The 24605-nt window shown below is 35.8% G+C and overlaps 1 protein-coding gene across 22 annotated transcripts in view; it reads right to left on the bottom strand.

Moving 5' to 3' along the window:
- The window catches only part of NRG1 (neuregulin 1), a 1134802-nt gene that overhangs the window by 158046 nt on the left and 952151 nt on the right, over positions 1 to 24605 (bottom strand). For 15 of the 22 annotated variants that reach the window (NM_001159999.3, NM_001159995.3, NM_001322201.2 and 12 more), the window contains exons 2-4: positions 19996 to 20173; positions 10318 to 10439; positions 1437 to 1487 (exon numbers count right to left, since the gene is read on the bottom strand). In NM_001159999.3, coding sequence (NP_001153471.1) covers positions 1437 to 1487; positions 10318 to 10439; positions 19996 to 20173 — 351 coding nt within the window. The remainder of the gene's footprint in view (positions 1 to 1436; positions 1488 to 10317; positions 10440 to 19995; positions 20174 to 24605) is intronic. The other 7 variants (NM_001160001.3, NM_001322202.2, XM_017013367.2 and 4 more) reach the window with 1 other exon arrangement.

Genomic DNA, 24605 nt, shown 5'->3' with positions numbered 1-24605 from the left:
TAAATGTAAAAGCTCTTTTTTTCCTAATGGCATTTACTGGAGTCAGATAACGAAGTCCCTATATTACAGAAACGTGTAAATGAAAGGTGAAGAAATTTAGAATATGTGATTTTTTTTCTTTTTTTCTCTCTCTTTTCCTCTTTTTTCCTTCCTTCCTTTCCTCAGAAGAGTAACAACCTCTTAGACTCCAGGATCATACCATTCCGCAACACACATACACTTATATCTTAGTAATGACATATGAATATGTCCTAAATATAGCTAAAGTAGTCTAGGATACAGAGATGTTTAGCTTTTATGGTTTTAAAAAATGGCTTTGAAGGGAAGAGGAAATGATGGAGGTAAGATGGAAAAAGACATGTTGATTATAGGTCATTCTATAGTTTCAACAAGGTACCAGCCATAATGAAAAACTCAATGAAGCTAAAATATTAAATGTGGAGTAATAAAAAGAATATCGAACTTGAAATACCTTCTCTTCTACTTCCTGAGGTATATGACTTAACATTTCTAATACTTCAGTTTTCTCATCTGTAAAATGAGGAAAAATGATGTCTTGTTTCACAAGTTTATTGTGATTATCAAATGAAATTTAAGAATTTTTGTAAAAGAAAAGGCACCATGCAAAACCAAATTACCATTGTACCTCTGAGATGAATTTCCAATCTTGGGTCTTCAAAAATTTTCTTCCAAATAAAGATTAATTTTTAAATGTTCTAAGGCTCTATTAATTATAGCATTACAAAGAATAAGAAAAAGTTTAAAAAATGAAATACATAGAGGATAGATTAAATTCATAGCTTGTGAAGAAATCAATGAATTATGGTTATATATGCATTGCTAGAGTTGGGTTCTAAGTTGCTAATATCTGCTCAGACTATAAGTGCTATCAGCAAATACTACAGGCAAGTGAGAAACCAACCAAAACAAAGACAACAGCATTTTTAAAGGCTGTAAGTCTTTTTGTTTTGTTTTGTTCTGTTCTGTTCTGTTTTGTTTTGTTAAGTTTAGCGATCCACAACTGATTATTAGAAACCCAAAGGTCACGGATCAGATGTTGACAAATTACCCAGGAATACACTCTGAGGGGTGAAAGAGTAGAAGGCAGCTAAGAGAATCACCTGGAAAGACATAAAAACTGAGCTTGTAACTCAGATATATCTCCTTTACTTGCTTAATGTCATTAAGTTGCACCTAGATATAGATTTCTTTCACTCATGTATGTTTCTCAGGCCTAAGTTTGAAGACACAGCAAGAACCATCCTCCCTTAAGTAAAATCCAAAAAGACAGAACAAGGTTGAGAAAAATATTGAAGCAGAAAACAAGAGCAGCTGAGAGGTCTGGATGCAGAAGGGGTTCTGATTAGTAGAAGGAGCAGCCAGCAGTTATGGTTGTCATTCTGGTTAGTAAAATTTGCCAGGCTTATTTTCCTTACCTGAAGACACATATGCTCCTTCAGTTGAGGCTGGCATACCAGTGATGATCTCTGAAAAAAAAAGGTGATAGGACATTATGATATATAAACAGGAGGCCGGGAGCAGGTACCACAGCCTGCCTTGGAACTAAAAGTTAAGTGTAAAGGAAGGAAGTATTGCAAGGGAGTGAGAAAAGTCCAGGCTTTAACCATACAGAGAGTGAGAAATGCAGAAAGACAGTCCAAATTGATAGTTCTCCTTTCTTATGCAAAGAGCATAAAATCAGCTGTGCTAAAATAATTAGGAAGCATTCACTGCCTCCACTTGGGTCAGTGAGGAAGAATTTATGTCAAAGAGGCAGTAGGCTTCTCAGGAAGAAAAGTCGAAATAGGGGAACTAAGAAAGTCAAAGCTATCGGATTGCCAAGCTGTAGTAAGAATTTTTAAGTTACAGATCTTTGAACAAGTACATTTTTGTTCAAAAATAAAAGTAAGCCATGTTTCTAATTAGGATTGGTGAAAAACATCAAGTTCTGGCATTGAATTCTATTTAAAATTGCCAGTGAGAATGAAGACAGGTGCTTATCATATGATAGACATTAGCTACCCAGGCAGTAAGTATGCAGCTCCCACCCAAAGAAATGAAGGATGAATCCAACCTGTATACTTCTGGATACATCATTTTCATGAGGATTGTGACAGTCTTATTCAAACTTTCAACTTGTTTTCTTACTGCCTTTATGATGGAATGGGTAGTTACACTGTCTAATTCCATATTCAGTTCTGAAAAGGGCTTCAGTTTGGCAGAATCTAACACTTTTGGAAAGGTACAGTTTTATGAAGCCTGGAAAGATGTAGAGATGCAATGATGTATATCATTCAAGTTTCACTGTGTCATAAGTCTTGCCAAATGACTTAATGGTAGTTCACATTTTCTAACCAGGACAAAAGATAAGCTGAATCTACTGCGATACTATCTACTGTACAAAAATTATGAGATCTAACCGAGAATCCTAAGCAGGTCATATATAATTTTATGTTTAAATTAATATTCTGTTAATAATGGAGTAGAAAACTTTATTACTAATATAATCATCTTTAAATACAGATATGGCCATTTAGGGTTTCCAAGATTGGACTAGTCTAGCAGGTAAGCAGAATCAATTTAAGCGCCAATATTTCTTCAAACTCTGAAGCTTCTCTAGGGACAAAAGATTTTGTGGAATTGAAAGGGAAACAAAGTCATGTGAGACTCAGCAGCAATGTTTAAGAACAAGTGATTAGCAATAAACCTTTAGTAAGACCAAATGTGTCTTTCTGCTGCAAATTAAGTGTGGATGATCCTCTCTAATCACAGATTAGGAGGGCAAACTATGCAAGGAGTAAGCTTGGTTTCAATACATCAAAGTTGCCTACGTTGGCTCTTACATCCACTAAAAATGGGGCTCACTGAAAGGAATTAGTATGTGAGGGTACATCATTTTCTCAGGATTTTCTCAAGCATCAGGCGAGAAAGAGGATATTCCGAATTGGTAATATGAAGATATCTGTTTCTGAAGCAGCACCAACAAGCTTTCTTGATTTGGGCTGCAGAAAATGAAATTGTTCTTCTTTGAGAAAATGTAATCTCAAAGAAACTATATTAGAGATACAAAGTGTGTGTCCTTCTCTAGAAATATCTAGAAGGGCCATGTTTCCAAACAAAGGACCTACACTAAGAGAGATGCTTCCTTCTCTTGTCCTTCAGGATTCATCAATGACATTACAACCAGATGAAGTCGTAAACCCAAGGTGCTCAACTAGAGCTGGGCAGAAGTCCCAATCCCAATTCGGATATCAAGACTCTTTTCAAATTTATTTTTGACAAACAAAGTAGCTGTCCACTGTGACCTTCCAAGAAGAAAAAAAAATCAGAACTTTTCTATCTCCAGCAAAAAATACCTCAGATTAGAGGGAAGGTTAACCATAATGTTTCATTTTTTAATTGAATGTTACCTAAAAATACCAGAACAGGAGGTTACTACAAAGAGGCATCTACACAGAGACAACTTAAAATAACTCCTCTTCCTAAAATCAGGTATTTATCTTGGAGACCTTAAAATATCTTTAATGATTATGGTTTCAAATACAAACTTTCTGAATTAACCCTGGAGGAAATACAAGCTCAAAAGTTAACCTATACTTCTACACCAAAGGAGTCTTCATTGTAAAAAGAATCTTGCTAGTAAGAAAGTTAATCTTTTTAATTAAAACCACTCAGCAAGCATTTTTATGTGTGCTATGGGTAGAATTTATAGATTTGGAAAACAGCCTTTTGTTAAAAGTAAATTGAAAGTAATTTTATATTACACTTACAGACTTTTAAAAAAGCATTAAATCCTGCAATCTTTATGATGTTTATTTAAGCAACATATTTTCCCATAGTAATTTGGCATATTACATTTGTTAATTTATAAAGGACAGCCCCTTCATTAGTGCAAATTAATGAGGTTTTAGAATTATCAGAAACTGAACACAGCTGAGCAACTTATGCTGAACAGGCAAGTAAACATAATGAACATTAGTATATTTGTAATGTTTGAATTCTTTCTTAATAAACGGGGTCTGGTCTCAGGAAAAAGTTGCATGGTCTCAAAGATATCTTCTAGAAAGGAATTTTTCTAATTATTATGAATGTAACATGTTTGCAATTTCATCATGATCATAATACACTAAATATAATTATGTAGCAAAATACACATATGCACATTGTATACAGTATATACAAACATACATAAAATGTGTCTGTGTGTATTCCAACATTCACTTATGTGACTTTTTTACCAAACTTATATGTCACTGCTGTACATACAAAAATTTTGATCAAGTGATTTCTTTAAAAGATTTAAAAGTGGACATATTTATTTATTAGCAGTTATAAAGATAACTTAAGGAACATCTTTAAGTACCTGAATTCTTCCTGTTCATAATGAATGCTTACTCTAAGGCAACTGAGAAATTTTGAAATTAATAAACAGTGTAGACAGGATGGATACCATACATTGAAAAGACAAATCTACCCTATTGCTTTCATATTGTTCTCATGTATTTGCCTTCCTGGGCATCCTACATAATACAATATACATGTAGACTGTTATACAAATTATAAAACATATTTTACATGCTTTTCAACATAACTGCAGGTTGTTTCCCAATATTGTGAAATTTCTAACATCATTATCAATTTGGGAAAGGGGGTAAGGCGAAGCCTATTACCAGTATGAGTCTATTTTTAAAAGCTGCAATTGATAATTTAATTAAATTTTATAAAAATAATATTTTTCTGCTCATCTCAAATGAAACAGCTATTTTTTTGCTACAAGCCCAATTGCTCCTGTGGGAACTTGAATCTCATTCAAATAATTTTTCTTCTGATTAAAAAAGAAAACTTAGGAGAAGATATGATTGATTAGTTGTATATTTTCCTATATTAATCTTTTAAAAGAAAGCATTACTTAATTAATTTGGAAACCAGTAAAGTCTATTATTCTCTTCCCTACTCTAAAGCCCAGGAGTTTTCACAAAGCTTGTTAGCTAAGAATTAATTGCTAAGTCAAGGTTTCCTATATACAGACTGAGCCAAATAAACCACAAATACAAATGAACATATAGTGTGTAGGGTGTGTAAACATGATGTATGTGGCCTTTTCTGCTGTCATATACGAATTCATGAAAGGAATTCACTCATAAGTTATCACATAATTACTGCCTATGAGATCCTTTGTTATATGAAAACCCAACTGGTCTTTGTAAGCTTTACATTGTCCCAGAAGTAATTAGCAGATTGCATAGGTTGATATATGTCTACTACAGGATAAATTACTTTCTCTAATTCTGAATAAAGTAGGGGTTGAAAGGCATTGGAAAAGACAGAAAACACCTACATTTCTAAAATGTAGGTTGGCAAAATGCTTGACTGTATTATTTTCTAAGTGCTTGAAAACAGTATAAGTATGGCCACTGTTACACCCAAGCATATACTGTTTCAAGGGGAATTTCCTAATTTTTTAATCATTTCGTTTATATTTAGTCACTAATCCAGATAGATCTAAACAATGAGTTTCATTGCAGAAGACTTTTATGATCTAATTTTATTTTAATAATTACTATAGCTTCCTTAATGAGATTAAACATCATGCCAAACAGCAAGGTCATCTGGGGAGAAAGTAAACAGCTTCCAACGAATGTCTCCCCCAACCTCCCCATCTCTCTTAGAATCTTGTATCAAAATATGTTCTAAACATGTTGGAACATACAAAAAGTAACTGTGTGAGAATTTAAGTGAATCACAAGGAATCCTCTGCATAGGAAAAAATTAGGATAATTAGATTGCAGCAACCTACAAGGATCATTCATCAAGGAAACCTGTATAGAAATTCTCGAAACTATAGCCATGAGCTTCTTGGAAATACATAGAAAAGGTGAAAAAATGAAATTAATAAAGTGACTGATAGTTCATAGAAAATATAAATTAAAATCTCAAGGGGAGTTCTACATAATGTAATAGTTTGACAGCATGTTCTTATTTTAACAACTTTTTTTTTTTCTAGAATCCACAATGAAACAATAAATTCTTGACCGGGTGTGATGGTTCACACCTGTAATCCAAGCACTTTGGGAGCCCAAAGTGGGCAGATCATTTGAGGTCAGGAGTTAGAGACCAGCATGGCCAACATGGCGAAACCTTGTCTACAAGAAATACAAAAATTAGCTGGGGTGTGGTGGGGGGTGTCTAGAATCCCAGCTACTCAAGAGGCTGAGGCAGGAGAATTGCTTGAATCCAGGAGGAGAATTGCTTGAATCCAGTGCAGTGGCCGAGATCCTGCCACTGCACTCCAGCCTAGGTGACACAGCGAAACACCATTTAAAAAAAAAAAAAAAAAAGGAAAGAGAGAGAGAGACAGACAGAGGGAGGGAGGGAGGGAAAGGAAGGAAGGAAGGAAGGAAGGAAGGAAGGAAGGAAGGAAGGAAGGAAGGAAGGAAGGAAGGAAGGAGGGAGGGAAGGAAATTCTTGAGAATTCTACTCTCTATCAGCCCAAGTCAACGGTAAATATCTATTTAGGAAGACATGGTTCAGTGGTGCGGCAATTTATAAACCCAGTAGAAAGTGCCCTTTTTCTCTCAGAAAAAGTGTTTCTGTGCAACGTCTGCCCTGATTCCTAGGGAGACAGGAATGAGACAATACAAAGGCAGTGCATCTAAGCCCCGGAGAGCTCAGAACCCAACTGAGGCTTCTTTGACAACCAAGCATTGAACAGAATATAGCAAATTCTTAGATAGCAGTGGAAGAGGATAAGGGATCAAGATGATTACATATTTTCCTTCTGGATGCACTATAACTAGGACTCTAAGGTGCAGAGCAAAAAGGGTATCTCCTCTAATGTACAGGAAACTGGCCTTGTCAATCATGGTGCCTGCCAAGCCACAGGCCCAGGTGAGCTGCATGCTCCACCCCCAGACTTTGAAGAGAGGAGCTTCCGGGCAGCTATGTTTCCGGCTCCACCCTCCCTAGTTGAGGCAGCAGTGGACGTATGACCAGACAGCAGATAATTTGTAAGTTCTCTAGGTCTTTTAATGAATATGCAACAATCAACTTTGCTAATAGGATTCTTGGTCTGCGGAATTTCACTGGGGAACCAAGGAAACAATCATACAGTAGAGGTTAAAGCTGAAAGAATGCCTGAAATTGCCATGAAGAATATGGCCACGTGGGGGCAAGAAACAGGTCAAAGTTTGGAATTATAAAGAGGCGGAGTCTGAAAGTAGGAGAGGTGAGAAGGTAGGTAACTTTTGTTAAAACTATCAGAAGCATATTAAAGGTAGAAACACCAGAGAGAAAAGCCACAAACTCGCATTGCTTAAATTCGCAGAGATGCTCAGCATACAATTCCATCTCCTCGAGGCTGAGTTATAATGAAGTTCTAGTTCTTCGCCATAGAATCCCTCACTCCTTAGGCCTCATACCATTCCTTCAGCTTCTGTTCTTTATAAGCAAAAGAATCTCACTTAAACATTTGCAAGCATATAGTCAGATACAGAGTAAGGCTGGGCGCAGCGGCTCACACCTGTAATCCCAGCACTTTGGGAGTTCAAGGTGGGTAGACTTCTTGAACTCAGGAGTTCCACAGTGGGCAACATAGTTGAACCTAGGAGTTCCAGAGTGGGCAACATAGCAACACTCCATCTCAAACAAAATTTTTTTTTTTTAATTAGCCAGGCGTAATGGCATGCACCTGGCTACTCAGGGGGCTGAGGTGGGAGGATCCCTTCAGTCCAGGAGTCAGAGGTTGCAGTGAGCCAAGATCACACCTCTGCACCCTAGCCTGGGTGACAGAGTGAAACCCTGTCTCAAAAAACAAAAAAGAAAACACACACAAAAAACATTTCAGATACAGATGGAACTGCACTGTGGTAGGAATGAAGCAAAAAAAAAAAAAAACAAAAAAAAAAAAAACAAAAAAAACCTGGGTTCATATCTCCTTTTGCTGTTAAATATCTCTGTGATCCTGAATAAGTCTGTTTTCTATGCTGTCTTTTATTCTTTTTTAATACAATGAAGGGGTTGGATAAGGATGATCTATTCCTAACATTCCAAGAAGAGAATAAAAAGAAGGCCAACTTGCATTGCAATTGAGACTCTTCATTCTCATTCTTCAGAGGCTTTAATTACATAAGTCCATAGGAACCTATTTCTGAAAGAATTTTTGTTGGTTGTTTAAGAAGGATTTACTTAAAATATTCCATGAACTTCTCTTTATTCTTGCCAGGTAAAAAAGACTCATTATCAAAAACACCTCGAGTTTCATCTCTCTACCCTATAATTGGTCAACACTACATATTCAAATTTGATCACTAGACCAAGACTTCAGTGAATTAATGTGGAAAAAATGAATTAGCTGTTTTTCCTATGTAAGAAATGTAAAAAGCCATATTATCAAACTTTCAGTACCCCCAAATTAATAAAAAAGGAATTCTATGGGTTTTTGCCAGGAATAATATAGTAGTAAATAATTCATTGCTTAATCCTGTAAATCAGAAACCATGGAATAATCAATATGATACTTCTGTAGACACTCAGTGAGACTATGACACTAGCTTTAATTTTATTTTCCTGGGACTTTGTGGTATAGCTACACGAATCAAATCCAAGTGTCAAAAATCACAATTGAATACCATTAACTATGAGGAAACACACTGAACCAAGCCAGTGACAAACTAAGGAGAACGAGCTTCAAACAATGGTTATAGTAGAAAGTAAAAAACAGCCCATTAAAATTAATTTTTTAATGTGTGTTTCAGGTAGCATCCTATAGAATTCTACGTGGGGTAAAGTAATACTAGCAAACTATTATTGCTTAACCTGCCCTGGTTAAAAAATAAAGTGATGCTATATTTACTCATATAAATTTTAAATGGCTTTTACATTTTAAACTGTAATAAACAGGACTCCTAATGGTAATGGAAACTCCTTTTCCCTGCTCTCCTTTACTCTCTATGGAGGGAGACATTTAAAATGAAAGTGATAAACTTTGATTACTCTGTGATGGAGCAGATCCTTGAGAAGTCCAGAGAGGATGAGGCATTAACCTGAATTTTCCCAGCCCTGTTTCTGATTTTTATCTCCCTTCTCACTTTCTTAGTATGTTACAGAAGAATCAAGTGACAAAAACTACATCAGCCTCCCATAGAATTAACCCTTAAAATTACTTTAACTCTGCCTGTGCTGACCTGGCATTTTTACCTTATCACTTTAAGAGCGCTTGCCTTTGAAATGCAGAATCTTTCTCATCTCCTACCAAGAAGATGCAATTAGGCTTGGTTATATAACAGATGACAAATTTTGTAAAGGCAATAGTTAAGTGCCATAATTCAATAAATAAATAAATAAGCACTAAAGGTTTTAAAATAGCATTTGATTATTCTAAAAGGTTTAAAGAAGCATTGCTAGGTCATCATCATCATCAGCTCCTATAGATGATTCCATCAAATCATGGAGTATCAGGCTATTACAAAACACAAAGCCATCGGGGTGGTTCTTTTAATTTCCTGGAATAACACAGAAGTTGTCAGAGGTGGATTGTATTTCTTACCTCTAAGTCATTCATTTGTTTAACAAGTATTGCCTGGTACTATTCTGAACAAAGCTGAAGATGAAGCCTCTTCCTAGTAGGAAATTTATTGCCTCTAAGACGGTCCTAATTTCAAAATTAATAGGCCTAAAAAAAATTAATGGTTTAACTTTCTACTACCTAATGCCAGATGTAATGGGAATAAAATTGCCAGAATTGAGTCAGGACTGTATTCTGCACACACACAGAATATATGCATATTATATATGTATGCATATTATATATGTAATATATATAATACATATATAATACATACATAATACATATATAATACATATGTTATATATACGTAAACATATATACATATATAACGCATATATAATACATAATATGCATATATTCTGTGTGCATATATACATATTGTGTATATATATCCTGTATATATATATGACTGTATTCTGTTGTTCAGAGAGCCAAAGACTTGACTGCCCTCACTGACCAACTTAAAAAAATAGTATAGCCCCTATATTTTAGCAACCCAACCTATCTCTGCCATTCATGGCCTTATTAAAATCCTTTTGTAAAAAATATATGTATATTTCAGGTCTATATAATCTCATAGAGTACAGAAATTTATGAAAGACATACAAGATCCTTGAAACATCTGGTTTTCTTTCTCTGTTTTTAATTTGTTCACAATGAGATTTAACACACCAGTCTATTATGAGTCTTACCACATGTTTTGATTACTCTTGTTACAGATTGAGGAACAGAATACCGTAGGTATCTCTTACCGTTTGATTCCACGATGGTGATATTGGCAGAGGCACTGTCATTTCCTAATTTGCTGATCACTTTGCACATATACTCTCCAGAATCAGCCAGTGATGCTTTGTTAATGCGAAGTTCTGACTTCCTATAAGATCAGGACCAAAGTGGTGTCAGTATATATCACAGAAATCCAACAAATATAAATACATACTTTTCTATGCTTTCAGAGTTCTCAAACTGCCTCTCCCCACCTTATACATATGTTAAAATACAACTTCCGTTACATTGATCTGACCTCATGATTTTACCTAGAGTAAAAGTAAGATGCATCACATTTAAGTTGTACCATGGATTTCATCTCAATTTTATCACCTAAATCAGTAGTTTAAAGGAATTCTTCTGTAGTTTTTCTTTTTACTCCCTTACCATCACCAATAACTGTGTTATACTTTAGATTTTTAAACCCAATTGGTAAATTTTCTTACTTTTCTATATCCAAATGCCATCAGCCACTAGGGTTTAGGAAGAGAAAAATGTATAAAATCATTTCCTACAAGTCTGTTAAGGACACTTACTGAAGGTTAGAATAGATTTTAAAAATACTGTGCACTCTTCTTCTCAGTAGAGTAACATCAAGAATAATGTTAATTTTGAATTAAGAGGATTTATCAATTCCAAAAGGAAGGGAATTTTTCTTTCCTTAAGATTCTCATTGCTGGGAGCATAGTACCACATGAAAGGTTCTTAATACTGGAATAAATATTTGGGCAACATTATCACATAGTTTTATAAAACTCTGAATATTACATCAACATTCACTTTTTTTTTTTAACATGGGCAGCATTGTGATTTGCTGTGTCTGTGTTTTACTGTTGCACATAACCTATAATTTAAGCAGTCTCCAAGATATAAGAACTCAGAACAGCAGGGATTGGCTCAGAGTTTACTGAATTCTTTCTAAAGAATTATTCTAAAGCCTGGTGTGGTGGCATGCCCCTGGAATCCCAGCTACTTGGGAGGCTGACATGAGAGAATCACTTGGGCCCAAGAATTCAAGGCTGTAGTGTGCCATGATCATGCTGGTGAAGAGTCACTGCACTCCAGTCTGGGCAGCAGGGTGAGACCCCTATCTCCAAAAAATAATAGCAATCCTTCTATGCTCTAGCCTGGTAACTGTGATTTATTGGGCTCTTAAGGGGATAACGACAAGGGAGAAAACAAAGGAGGAAGAAACAACAGTAATCCTTCTGGTTGCAAATCTCCCACGTTATACTTTGCTAGTTTTCTGGTGAATTTTCTGGTCTTCTTGTCACACATTAATGTTAACTGAGAAAAATCAATTGTTCCAAATATAATTCCTACTAGTATCCTCCAGTCTATCCGATTGAACCACCCAAAGTTCCACATGTAGACCCCCTGATCTTCCACCTCTGTGCTTTTGTCTGTGTCATTTTTTCTTCCTACAATGGGGGTCCTGCATTCCTATGCATCAAAATCTCAGCTGACCTTCCAGGGCCATGTCAGGTGCCAACTGCTTCACCAAGCCCCTCCTGGTCATGTAGCTGGAGCTGCTCTCACGTGTCTAAATTCTGACAGCCCTGAGTACGCCTCTCATGAGAGTTCCTTCAGTATGTCTCATCTCTTGACCTAGGACATATACTTTGGAGAGTGTAGCTATAATGTCAACTTCTTGCTAGTCTCGTGGAGCATACATCAGGCTATGCTTTCTCTTCAGACATTATTGAATAAATGTGTGAATGAATGAATAAAATATCTGGATGTTTGCTTAAGTACTCAGCAGAACCTAATATTTCTAAGGCTGGTTGGGAGGAAAGAAAAATGCCATAATGAGAGGGCAAAGACCATCAGAGGTGGTCCAGACCAGGGGCAGTGGTGGTCAAACCAACATAGGGGTTGAAAAGTTAACTTCACGGCTGGGAGCAGTGGCTCACGCCTGTAATCCCAGCACTTTGGGAGGCCGAGGAAGACAGATCACGAGGTCAGGAGTTCAAGACAAGCCTGGCCAAAATAGTGAAACCCTGTCGCTACTAAAAATACAAAAATTAGCCAGGTGTGTGGCATGAGCCTGTAGTCTCAGCTGCTCAGGAGACTAAGGCGGGAGAATCATTTGAATCCGGGAGGCAGAGGTTGCAGTGAGCCGAGACCACACCATTGCACTCCAGCCTGGGTGACAGAGTGAGACTTGGTCAAAGAAAAAGAAAAAGAAAAGTTAACTGCGCTAGTCGGGACTCGATGTCAACAGGTAAACATGAGGTAACAAAGCAATGTGTTCCACATTCAAATAAATTTGGAAAATATTAGGTGAAATAAAGACAGGCTTTTCATTATCTTTAATCTCACAGGATTTCTCAGCATCTTGAATATGCTGTTGTACTCTGACTCCCCGAAAAGGGATATATTATTTATTTTCTCTCAAACTCCTTTGACCATGGAATCCTTTTCATTCACAAGGCATATCTGTTAATGTTTTCTGAAAATAATGGTCCACGGAACAAAGTTGACAAAAAGTGGATGTAATTTAACAGCCTTATCTATCTAGGAATGGGGAGACCACCAAGGGCCATTTAAAGAATATTCACACATCAACCAGAGACATTATTCATAGGAAAGCTTCCCTGAAGTATATCCCTATAAGCCAAAATGGGCCTTTTGATGACAAGTATCTTTGCAAATAGATATGTCTTAACAATAAAATATGACAACTTTTAAAATTATCGAAATAAAACAATATTAGAATATCACCCAATGCAGGCTGTATTAATTTTGGGGCTGAATTTTGGAGCGTTCAAATACCGTATGATTTTTTAAATGGATTATCAGCTATATATCTACTTTGATCATATATGACAAGTTTCCTTCATGACAGGTACCTTTGAAAAATAGTGAGGAAAAAAATGGATAAGCACTGTAAGATTTTCCAGCCCAACATTTAGCATGGTTTGCTGGAAGAATTTTCATGTATAACCATGAAACCACTAGCAATAATAGATAAATTATGAACAATATCAGGGTGGGGCATAGTATCTTGATTTTCAATGCCACAGAAGGAGTAAATTTCTAAAGTAAGAAAACTGTAGCTTTTCTTAAGTCCCCAAATTCTGAGATAAGATTACAACAACATCCCAAGAATTTACAACTCCAAGATTATTACAACACCCTCAAGAACAACCTTTCTTTCCTATTTATACAAATCTAGGAACAATCGTGTTTGTATGTAAAGACCCCTTTCTTGACCCAATGCAATTAACATTTTAACTATTGAACTAGATGGAACTATAAGAAAACATGGTAATCATATTTACAGTTAACATAATCTTAAAGGGATAAGTCTTAAAATCAAACTTCTCCTAATAGGCCTTGGCACTGTTTCCTGGAATACTATTCCTAGTAATGCAATCAAATGTTAGGCTTTAAAAGAAAGAGAGATTTAAAAAAAATGGTTCTATGCTAAAATAAATGTTGCATTAAAAAAAGTTAAATAGGTCTCTTTACAACAATGCATCTCAGTGAATTTTTGCAAATCTGTACTGTGAATTTCTAAGGCAGCCATGACATGTGGCCATGGAATCTTTTCTATGGAGAACACCCTTGGGAATCCTAAGACAGAACATCAATGGGCCAAGACTAAGATTCAATTTGATCGAGATAAGCATCACAAGTACATTCACGTACGAAAACTGGTGACATAAATACAAGAGGAGATATCCCTTGACTACAATATATGCAGAAATAAGGATTTCTAATTAGCCACATGCTTATTATTAACCCATTTTTAAAACTATTTTTAAGAAGAAAGAATAACAAAAAAAACCTTATGTACTCTTTAGCCAAATTAATATTAAAGCAGAGCATCAATCAACTTGGATAAAAGCCCCAATACATTCCTCATCGGCTAGATCATATCTAGAATGCTGAATTATACTTTGGATATACTTTGGAATGATATTTGATGATAAAAAAACATAATTAAAGGACTTTAGAAGAGGGTGATCAGAATTGAATAGGGCCTAGAAATCTTATCACTAGAGAGGATTATGTTAAAGAAACAGAGGTCCCACTGGCAGACAACTATGAATGAAATATGAGTAGCTATTTAAATATATTTCCAGGATGCATATGGAAAAGGAAATTATTTGGGATTGCTAAGTCTTACAGGAAAACTAAGTCTTACAGGAAAAAGGAAACATGTTTTGAATGATATTACATAGAAGCACTTTTCTGAGCATTCAAAAATGTATAGGGTGTCTTGTGAAAGAGTTAGGTTTTCTCTTTGGAAAGATTCAAGTCTGGATAGCCACCTGCCAAGCACATTCCTACAAGAATATCTCTGTGCAGAGAAAGATTAAATTAGATCAGTGGTTTCAACTATTTTTTACAACAAAATCCTGTTTTAAAATGAAAGCTTAAATCAGAACCTCATATTCAAAAATATCACACAGAAAGTGTTCCAGGTCAGAGTGACTGGTAATCCTTTTTGCAATTCAATAGAAATTTAGGACTCTACAGAGACATCATTGGAAAACCACTGACCTCAAGGAGCATAAACATCCCTCTGAATTCTAATGATACATTTAACTATGGGATTCATCCAGCCTTGTGTCCTAGAGTAAGGACAGAATGTAGTAAGAGTGTAGAATGAGCCAAATCTTCCTTGAAAATTATATATTGCAAAAAGATTTGGGGCTTTGATAAGTATGGATACAACAGTCTTCTTTTTTTCTTTTCTGTAAGATACCATACTCTGTCTATAAGAAGGAAATTAGCTTGGAAAGACTACTTGATTCCCTTATAGTCATAAATTTAACTTTTTGCTCTTTAATTGATGAGTTTTCTAGGGATCTGGAGGAAGGTTGGTGTTTCAATGGATTTTTATTTTCTAAAAATATTAAATGAGTTAATTCGTGTAAAGTGTTTAAAATAATTTTTTCAATATAGTAACTTCCCAATAAGTGTTAGCTATTATTATAGTAATTACATTCTATATTCCTGAAATATTTGGATTTTCATAATAAGCATGCATTACTTTTAGAATAAGAAAAAACAGTACAGTGTAAAAATAAATTAATGTGAAGTGATTTGAAGATAAAAAGTTCTGAATATTAATTTCCTTTTCATTTTTTTAATATCAGAAAGCACACTGTGTTTTTTACTGTGTGCTCACTTACAAGGTGAATTCAAGGTTCCATTAGCTATTATTTAGTTTAGTTTTATTTTAACTCGATTATTCTACCATAGTTACAGGCTAAGGCAACTTAAACACATATAGGGAAGAACTCTTCTGTTTATACAGTTTTGGTTCCCTGACCCCTAAGGAATTATATAGACAGTGTTTGTGTGTGTGTGTGTGTGTGTGTGTGTGTCCAACACTGCTTCAGATAGTGTAAAACTGATCATCGTGAAAAGGACAAAGAAGTGAAAGAGGAAATTATGATTTTTTTTTAAGTATAGAGACGGGGTCTTGCTATGTTTCCCAGGCTGGTCTTGAACTCCTGCGCTCAAGAGATCCTCAGTAGCAGGGACTGCAGGTACACACCACTGTGCTTGGCTAAAAGAGAGGCTTCTTAAGCAACAGAACCAGTCACTGTACCAAGTGCCTCACATAAACCATATGGAATGCCACTGAGGATTCTCATTTTCTACATAAGAACATTGAGATTTCATTATATATAAAGTTCAAGTGATCTGCCAGAGTTGCTCAGCTAATATGAGAAAAGAAATGCACATAAACTTTTTCCATTATAAAGTCAAAAAAAGCAACCAGTAAAAATAGAGGAAATAATTGTAATATTTGTCCAATGTAACCAATGACAGCCAATTTTAAACAAAATTAAAATATGTAAGAGCTGAGGCAAAATTAATGGTGTCCAAAAGTGTGTGAAACATACAAATAATAGGAAGCCAGTCTTTAATAAAGCTAAGATAGAACAGGTATTTAAATGAGGTCAATCTGCCAGTCCTTACATATGAATCTGTCACACGCCAAGCTTTTTAACCAGTTTTCTTGATCAAAATCATCCACCAATCAAAGAAAACAAGAACAAAGACATAAGCAGACATATAACATGAGGGTAGTTTCCATTTCTTTTCATTGGCCCCACACATGGGTTAGCCAAATAAACAAAGGCTCAATGGGAATTCAAAAATCATACAAAGAACACGTAGGAATGTAGTTTTTAGTAGGACCGTGGGCAAAACAAGGGTAAGATTTTACAAAATAATAGAAATTGCATATTGCTGTGAAATTGTGCCACTAAACACCAAGAGATTAAAAGGATATGTTGGCTGCTATGCATAATCTGATTATAAGAAGTGTGAAAAAGAAGCCAAGACTAAGGATTGGGAAAGAGTCAAAGTATTTAATTAAAGAGAATCCCAGAAAAATCTTACACCTCAAACTAAACTTCACCTCTGCTTGGTTGATCATAGCCTAAGAAAAAGTTTAAGTCAAGTAACCAACTAACAACTGCAAAACACTAATAGTCTGAATATCTTAGTAATTAAAAATCATTAATAGTAATATATAAATGCATCTGAAAAATAAGAATCTTTTAATTAAAGACATTATCCTAAGCATGCCAGAGCCCTATGTTCTGACTTCTAACTTTATGTAGCATAATCACAAATGTCTGTTGAAAAAACACAAGACTTAGAGTCAGACCTATTTCAAATCTAAGTTTAACAATTCATTACCACTATGATCTACAGGAAGAAACTCAGCTTCCTTCATTTTCAGGATATTAATGTTTTAAATGGGTATAACAATAATTATATTCCTTCTACTTATATTTACTGGATAAATTGAAATAATAGAACACCTTGCAAATGTTAATTAAATTGAGATTCAGTTGGAACCTTTAATCTTAAAAAAGCTGACAATGCTCTTCTTTATAAAAAGACACAATTTTAGAAATGACAAAATACCCAATTCTAAAAACTGATAAGATGATCGCTTCTCAAGTAGCTGTCCACTCTATACAAAGTATGTCTTATTTTTAGATCAAATATGTTAACTGCTTTGCTGCGAGTGATTTATGGTTGCATCACTTCAATACATTTTTCCCCATTTAATTCTTTCCAGCAAGACTATTGTTTAAAAGAAGTAATTTCTAACTATTGCCCTTTCTGGTATAATGGGATTTTATTAATATGTAGACAGTGCTCTTAGCTGTCTGGACCTATGAAGCCAATATGAAAATGCTTTTCTGAATACTAATGATACTTTTATATGTCATTGAAGCCAGGTAACAAATTACCTCTTTAAGTATACATGTACCTTTTCTAAAGCCTATTCATTCTAGTCAGTTCACTTTTTTAAAAAAATTCATTTTCTCATCTTATCTACCGAACTTCATTTGCTTCTCTCCAGGTAGCATCAGATTGAATATCTGCAATGTGAGATGCTTTCTTCTAGATGAAATTCTCCTCCCTCCCTTCCTCCTCCCCTGCTCTAACAGTGTTTCAATACATAACTTCCAAAATTTCCCATGTTTCATATAAGACTGAACTAGATAATCTCTGTACAATCTTATGACCCCCGCCCCTGGGCACAGAGATTGTAATGCCCTATACCTCTTTAATTTCTCCACAGTCCTAGCATAAAACCTTTCATGGGCACTTAAATATTACTGGTATCCTTTGACAGCCACGTAGAAATAAATGAGACATTACCCTGCATGTAGAGATAACTTCATTCCTTACTAACTTGTCTGATGAAAAGCAAACACCAAAATCCATTCCATCCAAAATCTAGGAGTATTTTTTTGTCCTGTTAAACTTCTTTGTAAGAATCATACTTATCTTTTCAATTCATTCATTGTATTTCCTCCTCCCCTCATGCACATATGCTGTTAAACATGAGACTTAGAGTCAGACCTATTTCAAATCTAACTTGAACCATTAATTACCACTATGATCTACAGGAAGAAACTTAATTTCATTCTCAGTATATTACATTTTTAATGGGTATAACAATGATAAACTCAGCTCTCACTGAGTCTCTTACTAGTTATATGACTTGAGGCAAAGCAGAACACTTTTTTGACCCTCAATTTCCTAATCTGCAAAATAAGATAGTTGCCATGTGCTGCTGAACTGCTACATATTGGAATAATGTAAAAAAAATTAGTAATATTAGGTATAAAAATGCCATGTCTCTTTACAGTATTATATTTTGTATCTTTGAAGTACCACCTGCTGCAGAAAGTGATACAACCCTTTCTTTTACACTTTATTATACTTCCAAAGCTATAGATCTATCTGACATGATCAATAACTAGAGTCAACGTGTAGTTAATAAAGTATGTAGCTAATAAAACCACAGAAACTAGAAAAGAAAATACAGTCATCAGAGCAAAATCTTTGATAAGATTAAATTTAATTCTCATTGTAATCACTTTGCTCATGAATGTGTAACAACTTTCTGGTTAATGTCCTATAAAATCAAAGTATAGGAGATTGTTCTGTTGCTTCTGTTACCATACTTGGGGGTTCACTGGAACCCTGTGAGATGTGAGTGCAGAAAATATCATCTTTGAGTTTGGAACCACTATTATACATGTCACGTTGATTAAAGGACTCTTTAGAAGCAAAAATCTAATCCACTTATCTCTTCTCTGATTTCAAAATGTAGTTTGATATTAGAAGAAATGATTCTTAAGTAAGGAAGTAAATAAGAATGAAGAGTGTAGGGATGATAACAGAGTATCATTTTAGAGTAGATACAGAATGCATCCACCAAGATGTTACAGGAATCACATGAAGCCCTGTCAAATATGGACCTCCTCGGGGAGGGTAGGAACATGTAAAATTCTTGCTACCTAAGATTACCTAATTTTAAAATCTGCTAGAATGATGATGTGCTTTATCAGCAGTGTCAGTTAAAAATTCTTATTAGATAAAATTATATCATTAACCCCTTGTTAAAAAATAGTCTGAATTCAACTGGTTACATTCCAATTCTTTCCATAAATCTAAGTATTCACTGAGCTTTACAATGAAGTTGTGATTTTAACTGTGTAAGGCACTGGTACTCTAAATTATCATATGCATTTGTCTTATTTTAAAGAAATTGCATTTTTTTTTTTTTTGAGATGGAGTCTCGCTCTGTTGCCCAGGCTGGAGTGCGGTGGCGTGCTCTTGGCTTACTGCAACCTCCACCTCCCGGGTTCAAGTGATTCTCCTGACTCAGCCTCCAAGTAGCTGGGATTACAGGCGCCCACCACTCCCAGCTACTTTTTGTGTTTTTAGTAGAGACAGGGTTTCACCATGTTGGCCAGGCTGGTCTCGAACTCCTGACTTCAGGTGATCTGCCCTCCTCGGCCTCCCAAAGAGCTGGGATTACAGTTGTGAGCCACCATCCCGGCCAAGAAATTGAATTTTAGGATCTATTACTATGACAGCATCTACCACTAATGCTCTCTTCCTTCTTCCCTTCCATCTCTTCTTACTTCCTACAGTTCTTTCTCCAGCCATCCTTTATTTCCTTCATCAATAAGATGTAAGAACCACAAGAATTCTTGCCTATGTGATAACATGATTTTTTGTCATTATATAATGAAACAGCTTTTCACTTATTATCTATTATGTTTCTGATAGTAAATTCACTTATTAGGGTCTAAATAACATTTATATGTTATCTTATTGCTGGGGGCAGTCTCTACTATTTTATGCATTATACTTACCCTGGCTTTTTTTGTATCTTGATATTTTGTGGTTTGTTTTTTCGATTCAATTCATTCCCATTCTTGAACCACTTGAATCTGAGAGAGGAGTATTCAGAACTGGTTTCACACCGAAGGACTAGTTTGGAACCTGCAGCCGATTCCTGGCTTTTCATCTCTTTCAATCGGGGAGGCAAGGCTAAAAGAAGAAAAGAGAATGAAAAACAACTCTGATCACCAGGCAATCTTTCAAAGAGAAACATTTAATCTGGAGTTAGCCTGATCAAGGCACCATTCCAAAGGTTTTATTAACAGAGAGAAAAACAATTTCAAAATGGATGAGCGAAAATGGATCTCATCTTGGAGAAAAATAAAATGCCCAAATAAAATATACTCAGAAGCAGAGAACCAAGATTAGAAAATTATTCCTTAAAAAAATTCTAGATAGTTTCAAGCTTTATATTCTCTGATGCCATTAAGAATCCTGAATGTTGGTAATTTCAAAGAACCAAAAGCCTGTGTTAAAGGAGCGTATGTAGGCTGGGCACGGTGGTTCACGCCTGTAATCCCCCAACTTACGGAGGCTGAGGCAGGAGGATCACTTGACCTCAGAAGTTGGAGTCCAGTTTGGGCAACATGGTGAAACTCCATCTCTATGAAAATACAAAAATTAGCTCGGCATGGTGGCATGTGCCTGTAGTCCCGGCTACCTGGGAGGCTGAGGGGGAAGGACCACCTGAGCCCAGGAGGTCAATGCTGCAGTGAGCCATGATCCCACCACTGCACTTCAGCCTGGGTGACAGAGTGAGATTCTGTTTCAAAAAGAAATTAAAAAAAAATAAAAAATAAAAAGGAGAATATGTAACCGGGCCATTATTTTTAAAGCGTGTTCACATCCCAAATCACAGTGTATCACAGTACTGTGAATAGGCGCAGGAAGCATCACATCCATTTTTAAAATCGGGAAGTTTAATTTCAGAGATAAGTAAGTGGCTGACTTTATCCATGGTTACAAAGTTTGTGGGTACTCGGAGCTAGGGCTCATTTCACTATCCTGTCATCAGAGGGGACCAAAGAACACAGAAAACCCATCAATCTTAACAATGGCTCCTTTCTTCAAGACAGAAATTCTCTGATGCTATCACTCTTTGACTGGACCTACAGAGTTTCTATCCCATACACAATGAATGGACCATTCCAGATGACCACTACTCACAACAAATTCTCTCTTTGATTGGATTTAGTGCATCTAAATAGTCTCAACAGAGACTGTGAGTACTTAAATTATGCATTAGCTTGGAGAATACATTAAACACCTACATACCATTCTTATTTTAAGCAAGACTGCTTAAAAATATGTACCGAAATACTTGCAGATAAAATGTTACAATATCCGAGATTTGCTTCAAAATAATATGGTGGTGGGAAATGGATAGGCATAAAGGTGAAAAACAATTACCAAGAAGCTGATAACTGTGGAAACTGGGTAATACGGACATGTGGTGGTGTGTTATGCAATTCTATATAGTATGTCTAATTCTGTTTATCATAGACATTTCTTAAAAGCATAGATGAATAAATTTTCCTCTCACACATAATTTCACTTTAATAATCAACAAATGTCACAGAACCTGAGAATTCCACAATTCTGTTTCCTGAGTCTCAGAAAAGCCAGCTACAAAATCTACTTCTGCTCCAGTTCAGGAATGTTAAACAGAAACTCCCAGAAAACAAACCCAGGCAAATGAGTCTATACCTCCCTGATTCCGTACCTAATTATTCACCGGGTAAGGGGCTCAAGACTCCAAGGACAGTAATCAGGATCACCTAACCATGAACAGGAAATGGAGACCTTTCCTACTCAGGGAACTCTATTTGTTTTTCTACGATTCTGCCCTTGCCAAGTAAATCCTAAAAATGTCAAGAATGAACATACGAAGTTTCCAATAAATTTCAGAAAAAAATCATTTGAATGCTGTGATTTCTTAGCAGTACCCCTACAGCTACATATTCCCCTTATTATTTATTTGGTGGCTGGGAGATGAGGTGGAGAAGCAGCCATTTAATGTAGTTGACACACTGGCCACTGGCAAATTAGAAAACATGTTTTAGCTGTTCTTAGCCCTTGATACCTGAATATTTTGTCTGGTTCTTTTTTTTTTTTTTTTTTTTGACACCTTGAAAATATTTTTTTCTGAAGAGCTTTCATAGAAGTCTTTTTAAAATGTGGTTCATGAATCTCTGTTTTGCAGGTTTTTTAAAACAGACTAAATTCTCATGTTATCTGAAATAGTGTCTACATATTTCTGTTAACTCCTTAAGATCATTTTTAATTTTGTGAGCCTGGTGAAGGGATTTATTTATTTATTTATTTAGACAGGATCTTGCTCGGTTGCACAGGCTGGAGTGCAGTGGCATGATCATGGCTCACTCCAACCTCCACCTATTGGGCTCAAGTGATCCTCCCACCTCAGCCTCCTGAGTAACTGGAACCAGAAGTGCATGATACCACCCCTGGCTAACTGTTGTATTTTTCATAGAGACAGAGTTTCGCCATGTTAGACAAGCTGGTCTCCACATCCTGGGCTCAAACAATCTGCCTGCCTTGGCCTCCCAGAATGTTGGGATTACAGGTGTGAGCCAATGGCCTGGTGAAGGGTTTTAAAGAAACAAATCTGCCGGTGCTACATGACACCAAAAACTGGTTTACACATATTAAAAAAATACATTGCCTCATTAATTTATTATAAACTGAAATAACTAGTTTGAATTCTTCACCCCTCTGGATTTTACATTTAACTTGGGAACACACCAGAACTTCCAAGGTTTATTCCCTTGCCTCTAAGCAAAATGCCTTATACATGAATTTTCTTCTGTCTCTGCTGCCCCTGAGACAGCAAGACCAATGCCCGCCTCTTCCTCTTCCTCCTCAGCCTACTCAACATGAAGATGACAAGGATGAAGACCTTTATAATGATCCACTTTCACCTGATGAATAAATATATTTTCTCTTCCTTGTAATATTTTCTTTATGTTACTGTATTATAAGAATACCATATATAATACATATAAGTTAAAAATATTTATTAATCAACTGTTTGTGTGATCGATAAGACTTCCAGTCAACAGTAGGCTGCTATTAGTAGTTAGGTTTGGGGGGAGTCAAAAGTTATACTTAAATTTTTGGCCACACAGGGGATTGGCACCCCTAATGCCTACATTGTCTGAGTGTCAACTATACTTCAGATACCTTCTCTTTAAGGACCATGTTTCCCCCCTTACCACTCCATATATTTGCTTATCAATATAGTCTGAGCATAAATCTATGGAGACTTTGTTTTCTTCCCCTTTGATAAACATTTTATCATAAAATCAGTTTGCCCCTCTCTTTCCTTCTTTTCTCTCTCTAGCTCGTCTCTCCTTCCTCTTCACCTTCTGTCTTCATTAGTTTATTTATTTCTGTATTAGGGGTTTTGATTTCAAACATGAGGAAACAATACGACAAATTCAAAATGAGAGATATTCTATAAAACAACTGAAGTAGGCTTTAAAATCAATGTCATCAATAACAAAAGAAGACTGTAAATGTGATCTAGATTAAAGGAGATTAAAGAGACATGGCAAGTCAATCTAATGTGGAGCTACTGATTGGATCCTGCTCCAAGGGAAAAAGAGCTGTATAGGATATTATTGGGACTACTGGGGAAATCTGAATAAAAATATTGTATCAAAGTTAAATTTCTCAAGCAGGAGCACTGCGTTGTGGTTACGCAAAGGAATCTCCTTGTTCTTAGACAATATCTGCTTAAGCATTTAGGGGTGAAATGTCATGATGTCTTCAACTAAACTTTAGATGGTTTAGCAAACAGAAATACATTTACACATATACATGCTAACACATACAGAGGAAAAAAAAAAAAACCGGGAGCCTTGGTCTGTCTCTGATTTTCTGCCTTTCTCATCTGATCTTTCTGCCATTAGATAAAAGACCTAGGCTTCATTAAATACGCACGTGTGTATGTGTGTCTGTGTGTGCGTGTGTGCATTAGTCTGTTCTTTTTTCTTTTTTTTCTTTTTAACTTTTATATTAGGTGCAGGGGGTACATGTGCAGATTTTTATATGGGTAAATTGAGTGTTGCAGGGGTTTGCTGCACAGATGATTTCATCGTCCAAGTAATAAGCATAGTACCCAACTGGCAGTTTTTCAATCGTCACGTTCTTCTCACCCTCCGCTCTCAAGGAGGTTTCTTCTTTATGTTCATGTCATTAAGTATTTTTAAACTCTTGGTTAATTTGCATTCATGAAAGAAATTCTTGTAAATATTTGAGTTAATAATTTATAAGTTAAATTTAATTAATAATAACATTACATTCATTTAAATCATTTAAATTCTGCAAGCGGTATTGCACTGAAATGCTCATGGTTCATCCTCACAATCGTGACTTCAGGGCCCCAACCCCACTATGGTCTTTTGATGGAAGGAAACCAATCACTCATTGGGCAGGTCAACACTTCTCCTTTCCTTTTGGGGTCCATATGCAGAGTGGTACATTCCTTGCCTTACGAGATGATCTACAATGCAATGAGGCAGAGACCTTCAGATCCAAGGTCCTTCTTAGCTAAAATATC

Source organism: Homo sapiens, chromosome 8 (genome assembly GCF_000001405.40).
Source record: "Homo sapiens chromosome 8, GRCh38.p14 Primary Assembly".
Classification (NCBI taxonomy): Eukaryota; Metazoa; Chordata; class Mammalia; order Primates; family Hominidae; genus Homo; species Homo sapiens.
Note: the sequence above shows the minus strand (reverse complement) of the source record. Positions and strands in the feature narration are given on the sequence as shown.